Genomic DNA, 10,463 nt, shown 5'->3' with positions numbered 1-10,463 from the left:
TTTAAAGAAATCAAACAAGTTGTCTCTGGTGCTGTGTGAGAGAGCTGTCCGTTGTGCTGAAGAACACAGCACAACGAAACTTGAAATCAGCAGTCTCAAACTGTGGCCCCCAGATAAGCAATATCAGCATCACCCAACAACGTGCTGGAAATGCATATTCTCGGGCTCTACCCAAGACCTATTAAATCAGAAGCTCTGCATTGGGTTTCCAAGTTTTAGCAAGCCCTCTCGGTTGATTCTGATGTACGCTCACACACGTGAACCAGTGTGCACTGCAACAGGTCCTTCCAAAATTTGTTTCTTGTGAGGATACTTTTGTCCTTTCTGATCTTGACCTGCTTATCCTACATTTCATAGATCTCTGTGATTTTCAATGTCCTTGGCAGACCTCTCTAATGGTAAGTGTTTTTGAGAGTCTTAGAAACTTCTTAACAAAGTTAAAATAATTAGCTGGGCATGGTGGTGTGCACCTGTAGCCCCAGCTATTCGAGAGGCTAAGGTGGGAGGATTACTTGAGTCCAGGAGGTCAAGGCTGCAGTAAGTCATGATTGCACCACTGTACTGCAGCCTGAGTGACAGAGTAAGATCCTGTTTCAAAAAAAAAAAAAAAAGTAAAGTTTGAAAACTCTTCCCATATATAGAGGTTCAAATCAGCATTTTATTGCCTTACTCTTAAATGTAGCTAACCAAAGATCACTGAGAGTTTAAGAAAGGTCTCCAGTACAAAATAATAAATAAATAAGAAGAAAACAGAAGTGACACAGAAAGCAAAAGAGAACTTAAAAAAACTTCAGCTTATGAAATTAGTATCATTTGAGAGAAGAAAGAAAATATAATATCCACAAAATAAGAATAGAATGGCATAAAAAGGAGAACATGCAAGAGTTCTTGAAAACTAAAATTTGATTTAAAAAATAAAAACTTTAATAAAAATGTTGGAAATCAGAGTTGGAGAAATCTCCTCTTAATGTAGAACAAAAATAGTGTGAATAAGGTGTCCATAGGATGTGGCCCAGCATGGGTTGTCAGAGCCTGGGTGTCTACTCCTGTGAGCTGCCCATTGTGGGTGTTAAAGCAAGGTGAAGAGGGTATCCCAGCAAGGGCTGACTCACTATGGGGAGTCAGAGCATGGGAGGGCTAAGAAATGCATCCACACAGAGGTGCAGTTGGACATCAGGTGTTGGAGCTCAAGCAAAATGAGGAGGAGCATGGAAAGTGTCCTGATGTGGGATGTTGGAGCATGTGTGGGGTAAGAAAAGTGGCTGGGAAGGGCGCTGGCCTGAAGCAGGATATCAGAGCCCAAGCGGAGTGAGGAAAGTATCTGGTGAAGGAATGGAAACAGATATGGAGTGACTAGGAAAGACTGGTTGCATAGAGAAGTGAATTACATAAATTATTATCTTAAATATGATGATGTCATAAAAATAGCAGTCTGGGAATCCGAGGGCTCATCTCTCCATAGAAAGGAAAAAAAAAAAATAAAAGCAGAAGTGATCAGAATCAACCTTGTTGGAATTCTGGAAAATTGTCAAAGAAAATAGTCAAATAGCAACTAAATGAACTTTGTTTCAAAAGGTGACTGAAACACAGTAGGAAAACTTTTAACTTATTGTTGTTCCACACTCCTCCCAGCTTGGTGGTCTTGAAGATGGCAATGTATGTTCCTGGTGTGAGTCCCTGGTTCCGGAAGGAGCAGAATGAACCTTGTTCCCTAGGATTGTATTGTCTGTTTTGAAATGTCTGGGGGTTCCTGAAGGACTGATGTGAGGAGCTTGCCTTTGTTTTACCTAACTCAGAATTCACTATGGGCAGAAAAGTGGCTACGTAAAAAGTATTCCTCAAAAACACTGAAAATCAAATGAGCACGCCTCTGCCACCTGGGGCAATCAAACACACACCAAAAGCTTGAGAGGAAAAGTTAGGAACAGAGATACTTTGGTGAATAAGAACTTTGGAAAGTTCCTGTATATACTATGAAATCTAGAATGCCACATTCTGCATATAAGGGCAGGATGAAAACACAGACTTGGGACAGTCCTAAGATATAAGTTCTGGCTAATCTTTAGGCCCAATGCAAGCAGAAAGTGAAGGCTAAGGCAGAGCTGTAAACATCCTTGTTAAGTGTTGAGGGAGTATCCAAACACAGAGCCAATCTGGAAAGACTGGGAGAGTATATTTTCTTTCTTTTTCATTTCTTTGTTGTATTAGTTCATTCTCATATTGCTATAAAGAAATATCTGAGACTAAGACTCGTAATTTATAAAGAAAAGAGGTTTAATTGGCTCATGATTGTGCAGGCTGTACAGGAAGCATAATGCTGGCATCTGTTTGGCTTCTGGGGAGGCCTCAGGAAACTTACAATAATGGTGGGAGGTGAAGTGGGAGCAGGCACTTCACATGGCTGGAGCAGGAGGAAGAGAGAGTAAGAGGGAGGCACCACACACTTTTAAATGACCAGATCTCATGAGAACTCACACACTATTGCAAGGTCAGTACCAAGGGAAGGATGGTGCTAAACTATTCGTGAGAAATTCATCCCCATGATCTAATCACCTCCCACCAGGCATCACCTCCAACACTGGGGATTATAATTCCACATGAGATTTCATGGGACACAGGTCCAAGCCATATCATTTGTCTACAGGCATTTAACAAAGTTACTGTAAAGCCATTAGATGACTATGAACTAAGGAAACAGATTTCAGAGGCCATATTTGACAAAAAAAAAAGTTTTAAAAGTCACTAAACAAACAACTGCAACTCACAGCAAGAAAAAACAACAAATAATAGGGAGCAGGAAGAAAATTATTTCCACTCCTACAACATTATAATATTTAAAATGTGCGGTTTTCACAAAATATTATGAGACATGCAAACAAACAAGAGAGTATGGCCCTTTCAAGGGAAGAAAAGAAATTAGCAGAAACTTCCTGAGAAAAAACAGACATTTGACTTAACTAGACAAAGACTTTAAAGCAACTTTCTTGAACATAGAGTAAACTATGGGTAAAGAATTAAAGGAAGAAGAATGTTTTACATAGAAAATATCAAAAAAGAGAGAGAAATTGATTTAAAATAAGAAATAGTCTGGAGCTGAAAAGTACAATAAAAGTAACTGAAATGAAAAGTTCACAGGACGGTTTCAATAGGAGCTTTCGAGTAGGTAGAAGAAAGAATCAGCTGGGCCTGGTGGCTTACACCTGTAATTCCAGCACCTTGGGAGGCCGAGGCGGGTTGATCACGAGGTCAGGAGTTCAAGACCAGCCTGGCCAACATGGTAAAACCCTGTCTCTACTAAATATACAAAAATTAGCTGGGTGTGGTGACACGCGCCTGTAGCCCCAGCTACTCAGGAGGCTGAGGCAGGAGAATTGCTTGAAACTGGAAGGCGGAGGTTGCAGTGAGCCAAGATCACACCATTGCACTCCAGTCTGGGCAACAGAGTGAGACTGTCTTAAAAAATAAAAATAAAATCAATGAATCTGAAGATAGGTTAGTTGAGTTCCAAGATTTCTGTTTGACATTTTGGAATCATTTCAGTCTCTTTGTTAAATTTCTAAATTGCTTTTCTGTGTTTTCTTGGAGATCAGTGAGTTTCCTTGAAACTCCTATTTTGAATTCTTGGTCAGAGAGCTCACTAATCACCATCTTGTTAGGATCAGTGACTGGATTTTTGCTTTTTCCTTTTGAGGAAGTCATAGTTCCCTGTTTGCTGTTGTTTCTTGTGGGTATGTATCCATCTTTCCAGTTTTCTCTGTACAGCTTGTTTTGGTTTTTATTGAATACATTTGCTTATTGAATCTTCACTGCTAGGTCACTGCCTCTATTCGACTCTAGGTGGTGCCTTAAGCCCAGGTTCACCTCAGGACTAGTAAATGGTTGAAGCACTTCCTGTCTCAAATCAAGGAGATCCCAAAGAGATTATCCTGGCAGTGTGGGAAGTCTGGCTAGGGGTTTGTGCCCAGGGGACCTGGGGAACATGCCTCCTACAGCATGGTGCTGCTGGACAGCAACTCTGAGTTGGTGTCTCCTTTGGCTGAGTTACAGAGCAGAATTTCTCTGCCTTTCTTCGGGGACATTTCTTCTTTCAGGCAGTCATGATGCTATCTGTGGATTAAGGCAAGAACAGTTCTCCTGCCAGGGACCCCAAGAAGGTAAGGAAGCTGGTGGGCCACCTCAATTTCAGTTTTTCCAGTGTAGAAACTGTAGTTGGGAGGAGATTTTTTGGCACTTGGTGCTGGACAGAATGGGGATGAGGGGTGTCCCAGATGTGGAAGTCTGATTCTCCTATCAGCTGCTTGGACTTTTTTCATCCCTCTGTGGCCCCAAGAACTGTCTCACTCTTATACTTGAGCTCTGGGTTGTTTCTGGTGTAGATCTCAGTGCTATATATTTGTTTTTGGTTCTGTGGAAGTCGGGGAGTGAATCCAATTTTCCTCTATGATGGCATTTCGGAATCAGAGGTCTAGAGATATTATAGGTCAATTGAAATCATCCAGTCTAAGGAGCAAAAAGAAGAATAAACGAAAATGAACATAGGCTCAGAAGCCTGTGAGACACCATCAAGGATACCAAGACACACACATAATGAGAATCCTGGAAGAAGAGGAGAGAAAGGCGCAGTAAAAATAGTTTAGGCAATAATGGTCACAACTCCAACATGGAGAAACCCCATCTCTACTGAAAATGCAAAACTTAGCTGGGTGTGGTGATGAGTGAACTCCGGCCTCGGCAGCAGAGTGAAACTTCGTCTCAAAAAAAGCACTCTCCAATAGCCAAAACCTGGAAACAACCCAAATAAACTTATTTTCACAGTGGAATATTCTACAGCAGAGCAAATGAATGAATTAGAGCCAAACATCAACATGTTATGTTAGAAACATAACATGGAGTGAAAAAAGCAAATCCCAGAATATTATGTACAGTACAATATCTTTATAAAACTCCAAAGTAGCAAAACAATATACTGTTTATGTAAAAAAAGTGATGAAACTATTTTATACAAGCAATGAAGTGATAAACATGAAATTCAACAGAGTGATTTCTTCTGGATAGGAATCAAGGTGAACACAATGGAGAGGACAATACAGGTGAAGGCAAGTTATTGGTAACTTCTGGTTCTTGAATCGAGTAGTGTATACATGAGCATTTATACATAATGACATAAGTTTCATAATGTGCATGCATTGCCCATGATCTTTTATTCAAAATTTGTATATTATATTAAAATGTAAATATAGAGAGAAAAAGCTTGAATACTCATAATAATTTCATATTTGAAAATAAAATACAATCATTTTTAAAAGCTTGGAAGATAACATATAGTTATATGATTTACTTGTTGTTTTATCACAAAATTTTTTTATTTGAATCTCATAACAAACATAGAATATTTTAGGGGCACATACTAATTTAAGCAAATTGGTGAGGGAGAAATCATGAGGCCAAGAAAAGCTGGGTGGCTTACTCGAAGTCATCAGTTTGGTCAATGATGGGTCAGGGCCTCTAATTTAGAGCTTAAGACTCCAAATTCTGTGCTGTTCCCAACAACCCAGACTCACACCAAAAGGAAATATTGGGAAGAGAGCTCAAAATACGGAAAATAGAAATGTTCGCACAGGGGAAATGCTGTCAACAGGAAACTGTCCACCAAGAAGGTGAAAAGGAAGGTGTGGTTTTCAGGGGCCATGTGAACAATTCTCATTGTTGCGAGTGTGTTAAAACTCTTTATCACAAACCTTAACCACCAAAGAGGATACTTTCTTTTTTCCTAAAACACGAAGTTGCTTAGTTTCAAAATTCATTCCCTGCTATGATGAACCTCAACACACTATGAAGAGAGCAAAGGTAGTAGCTCCCTCTCCACTTCACAAAGGGAAAACAAAGCCAAAGAGAAGAAACCTACCATTGTCACTCTCAAACCAGCCGGTGTCTCCCTAATCTTCTCACTGCTGCCTGCATGTCCTGGTTCCTCAGGGTATAGATCATGGGGTTGAGCATGGGGGTCATGACTGTGTGGCCGATGGACACAAGCTTGTCCATAGGGAATGGAGTGAAGGGCCGGGCATAGAGGTAAATGCTTGGAACGAAGATCATGGAAACCACGATGATGTGGGTGGTGCAGGTGGAAGCTGCCTTCCTTCTTGCCTCCCCTGGATGTGACCTCAGCATCACCAGGATGAATAAGTAGGACATCAGGAGGAGGAAGAACCAGACGACATCCAGCAGCCCACTGTTGGAGATCTTGAGGAACTCCAGCAGTGAGGTGTCAGTGCAGGCAAGTCTCAGTACTTGGGGAACATCACAGTAGAAGTTATCCAAAATGTTGGGGCCACAGAAGGGCAGTGGGAGCATCAGAGCCAGCTGGACAATAGAGTGGACAAAGCCTCCCACCCAGGTGGCTACCACCAGCCCCACCCAGAGCTGAGTGTTCATGACGGTGACATAGCGGAGGGGCCGGGAGATGGCAATGAGGCGGTCAAAGGCCATCACTGAGAGGAAGAAGACCATGGCACCTCCCAAAAAGTGGAAGAAGAAGATCTGACCCATGCAGCCCTGGTAAGAGATGGTTTTCTTCTCAGAGAGGAGGTCCACTAGCATTTTGGGAGCAGTGACTGAAGAGAAACAGAGGTCTAGGACAGCCAGGTTTCGGAGCAGAAAGTACATGGGTGTGTGGAGCTGGGAATCAGAGGTCACTGTGATGATGATAAGGATGTTTCCCATAACAGTGGTGATGTAGACAAACAGGAACATTAGAAACAGGAAACGCTGGAGCTCCCGAGTCTGCGAGAGCCCCAGGAAGACAAAGTCTGATACCCACGTGAGGTTCCCTGTTTCCATGGTGTTTTCTCCATACACCTGAAGAAAATGAACCACAGACACAGATACATGAAGTCACTACTTTCCCTTTCAGGGCTCAGGGGCTCAGAACCAAGGTTTTAGGCCCATATGATGAGCATCCTTATGTGTAGACCATTATACTAGGTGCTGTCTTGTCTCTGGATCGTTTACAAGTGGGTGCTGGAATATACATTCCTGAAATCTTAACGCCATCCAGAAGTATATACAACCTGCCTTTCAAAGATTCATATAGTGGTGGGAAGACACTTGGAGTCAGATACATCTGAAGTCAAATTTCAGGTCTTTCATTTCATTGTGATTTGACCATGAGTAACTTACTTAATCTTTCTGGGCCTCAGTTTTCACGGGAATTTGTAAGGTAGAAATAAAAATACCTGCTTTGTAGAATTTTCTGAGGACTTAAGTAGAATGATAGATATAAAGTTCCTAAAACAGTGTATGGAATAATCAATGGCAATTACTCACCTGTGTGAATTCTCTTAATCTAAAGATATCCTCTCTTCCACTCTGTAATAAGATTCTTTGCCAATTATTTTTCACATGACATTTAATACATCATCGTGTTAATGGATTTTCCTTGTCTATATTTTCCCTCCACAATTCAACTATTAAGTCCAAAGCCTATATCTGGATCTCACAATTTATTTGTGCCCTGCAGTACCCATTCTTAATGACAGTTAACTTAAAAAGCTCTTGGTGTTGACTGCTGCATGGGTGAATAGCTATCAGGTGCACAAGTTCAGCACAAGGAAGACACTGGATGCAGCTGGATGCCTGAGACATCCAGTAGTTCCCCTGCCCTCCACTGTGGGCGGCCCCTTATGAGTGAGGCATATGTGGTGGTGCTGAGACAAGAGGGAGAAAAGGGAGGGAGAGTCATTGGATTGAGAAATAGATGATGAATATTGTATGAAGGGGACTCAGAGAGCTTCTGAATGAAACAGGAATTTTACAAGATGTTACTGAATCCAAGGGTGGGAGACAAAGGAAGTTGTTGAAAGAAAACAAATAGAAATAGACAAAGGAATAAAGGGAGATGAAGGAATAGAGCAAGTGAAGGTAAAGGAAGTGGAAAAGTGCTGGGGAGGTGGAGAAAACGGGACTAAAGGGACAGAAGAAGATGGAGGAGCCGGGAGAGGTGGCTCACGCCTGTAGTCCCAGAAATTTGGGAGGCGGAGGCGGATGGATCACTTGAAGTCAGAAGTTTGAGACCAGCCTGGCCAACATGGTGAAACTCCGGATCTGTACTAAAAATACAAAAAAATTAGCCGGGCGTGGTGGCACACACCTGTAATCTCAGCTACTTGGGAGGCTGAGGCAGGAGAATCGCTTGAAGCTGGTTGGAGGCTGCAGTGAGTGGAGGTCATGCCACTGCACTCCAGCCTGGGTGACAGAGCGAGACTCTGTCTCAAAAAATCAAAAACAAAAAAAAAAGAAGAAGAAGATGGAGGGTGACAGGGGAGGGGGTCAGTGGTCTCCCCCCTCCCCCTGCCCTGTCTCAATCTCTCTTACCCTCTCTTACCTGGCCTATTGCAATCTATTATCTACAATATTATAGGTCATTCTAATCTTATTCTGCTCCTTCAGTTTACTTCCACTCCAGGACACCTTCTTTTTTTTTTTTTTTTTTTTTTTGTGACGGAGTCTCGCTGTCGCCCAGGCTGGAGTGGCGCGATCTCGGCTCACTCACTGCAAGCTCCGCCTCCCGGGTTCACGCCATTCTTTTACCTCAGCCTCCCGCGTAGCTGGAACTACAGGCGCCCACCACCTCGCCCGGCTAATTTTTTTTGTAACACGGTTTCACTGTGTTAGCAGGATGGTCTCGATCTCCTGACCTCGTGATCCGCCCGCTTCCGCCTCCCAAAGTGCTGGGATTACAGGCATGAGCCACCGCGCCTGGCCTCACTCCAGGACACCTTCTACACAGCTGTCCATGAGACCCCTCTGACTCAGATGTGATCATATTCCTCATTGTTATAATATTTGATTTGCTCACAGCTTAAAACTCAAACTCTCAGAAGCCACCTAAAATGCTCTGTGGATAAACTGAGGGTGGAAAAACATACCTACATACGTGCATGCAACTCTCTCTCAGCATTTCATACAAGACTATAAAAAATAGCCTCCCTATACCTTTCTAATCAGTATCACTGTCACCTGGGAACTGATTGCTGTTCAAAGAACTCATAGCTTCCATGTAGGCAGTATATTTCATTATTTTCATATCTTTGGTAATAAATCCTGTTTCCTGAAATGCCTTTTGCTACCTTCTCAACCTAGAGGCGATAAGAGAAATATCACTTTCCCTTTGACTCCTCCCCCCATTTCTCTCATGCAGAATTAATTCCTTATTTCTCTGTGTTCCAATAGCATTTGATAAATACCTCCATTATAGCATTTATCATTTTTTCTATTGCTTCTCTTAACTAGATTGTAAATTCAATAACTTAGTAAGCCCAGAGTCTATGACAGCATCTCTGATTTAGCACTTGCTCAGAAATGTTTGCCAACTTAATATATTAGCAGGTAAATGTGACTTTGTTTTATGTGACAATGTCGAGAATCTTGTGATTTTCCTCACCGTTGATGTCCTTTGCTGTGAGCATCCTCCCTCTAAGTCTCATAGGGCGAATTCTGTGCTTTGTTGTTTTCCTATGTAATCGGAGGCATCCGTTTTCAACATCACATTCCCCTTGCAGTTTTTCTTGAGTCTCTGCTCATCCTTTAGACTTACTATCGTCAGGTCTATGTCACTTGCTTATTACTCCCACCCTCTAGCAGGTGTTGCAAGATCTTTCTTACAGCTGATCTCTGTGCAGCTGAGGAAACACTGGTCTCTCACCTCCCTTTAGCCCAGAATGGGGCTTCAGTGTACATCTTCTTGGAGATCCTTTGCTTCAGCCTCACAGTTTCTTAGCTCCTGCCCTTACTTCATGAATAATACCATGGGTGAGACCCCAGGGGAAGGGGGAATATCCTTTGGGAGAAACTATTGGACAGGGCTCAGGAAGCTGAGCTGGGCTGATTATCACTGGGGCCAAGGGAGCAATGGGAGTTGTTAAAAAGTTTCTAAATGTCTCAAAAGCACACACTCTTTGAGAGGTCTTCCTTGGGGGGCCCAAAGTACCAAGCACATTGAAAATTTTAGAGATTTGAGGAATGGGTAATATTCAGGCCAAGATCCAAAAGGACAAGAGGGTCTTCAAAAAAAAGGAGACTCTGAGAGTTTTAGGAGAATTTCTTTCTTAGACCAGTGACACCTACCCTTGAGAGAATTACCTGAAGGCCTTGTTAAAAGGCAGACTTCTGTTCCCAGCCCAGAATTTCTCATTCAGTACATCAATGGTAAGACCAAGAATTTGCATTTGTAGCAAGTTCTCAGATAATGCTGATGCACCTGTTCCAGGGACCAGACATTGAGAACCAACGACTTGCTCTTCAGCACAATGGATAGTTCTCTTTCATGGTGTTGTCAAGGTAACTGGTTTGATTTCTTCTCCTTTTAAACTGAATTGATCTTTACATAGGCAACGTCATGGATGGGAAAATGTCTGCATACTAAAATGAAAACTTAATTACCCCATAAATCTTGTTCTTCATCT

General features: G+C 42.2%; 1 protein-coding gene across 1 annotated transcript, besides 1 other annotated feature; it reads right to left on the bottom strand.

Annotated features, from left to right (window-relative positions):
* Positions 1-201: a silencer, noted in NCBI's record as "peak2916 fragment used in MPRA reporter construct". NCBI's record gives its function as "represses an SCP1 promoter by STARR-seq MPRAs in K562 erythroleukemia cells {active_cell/tissue: K562}" and the evidence as "EXISTENCE:reporter gene assay evidence [ECO:0000049][PMID:32103011]".
* On the bottom strand, positions 5,380-9,514 carry OR4D2 (olfactory receptor family 4 subfamily D member 2). Its single transcript, NM_001004707.4, has 2 exons — positions 9,443-9,514; positions 5,380-6,858 (listed from the first exon to the last, which is right to left on the bottom strand). Exon 2 carries the CDS (start codon positions 6,838-6,840, stop codon positions 5,917-5,919), a length of 924 nt encoding a protein of 307 aa, NP_001004707.1. The 5' UTR covers positions 6,841-6,858; positions 9,443-9,514; the 3' UTR covers positions 5,380-5,916.
* Between the last annotated feature and the right edge of the window lie 949 nt (positions 9,515-10,463).

The sequence above is a fragment of the Homo sapiens genome, chromosome 17 (assembly GCF_000001405.40).
Source record: "Homo sapiens chromosome 17, GRCh38.p14 Primary Assembly".
NCBI lineage: Eukaryota > Metazoa > Chordata > Mammalia > Primates > Hominidae > Homo > Homo sapiens.
This window is presented reverse-complemented; position numbering and strand designations above follow the sequence as displayed.

Bases quoted from the DNA above. Each gene is read 5' to 3' on its own strand.
- OR4D2 (NM_001004707.4), bottom strand. From the start codon at position 6,840: ATGGAAACAGGGAACCTCACGTGGGTATCAGACTTTGTCTTCCTGGGG.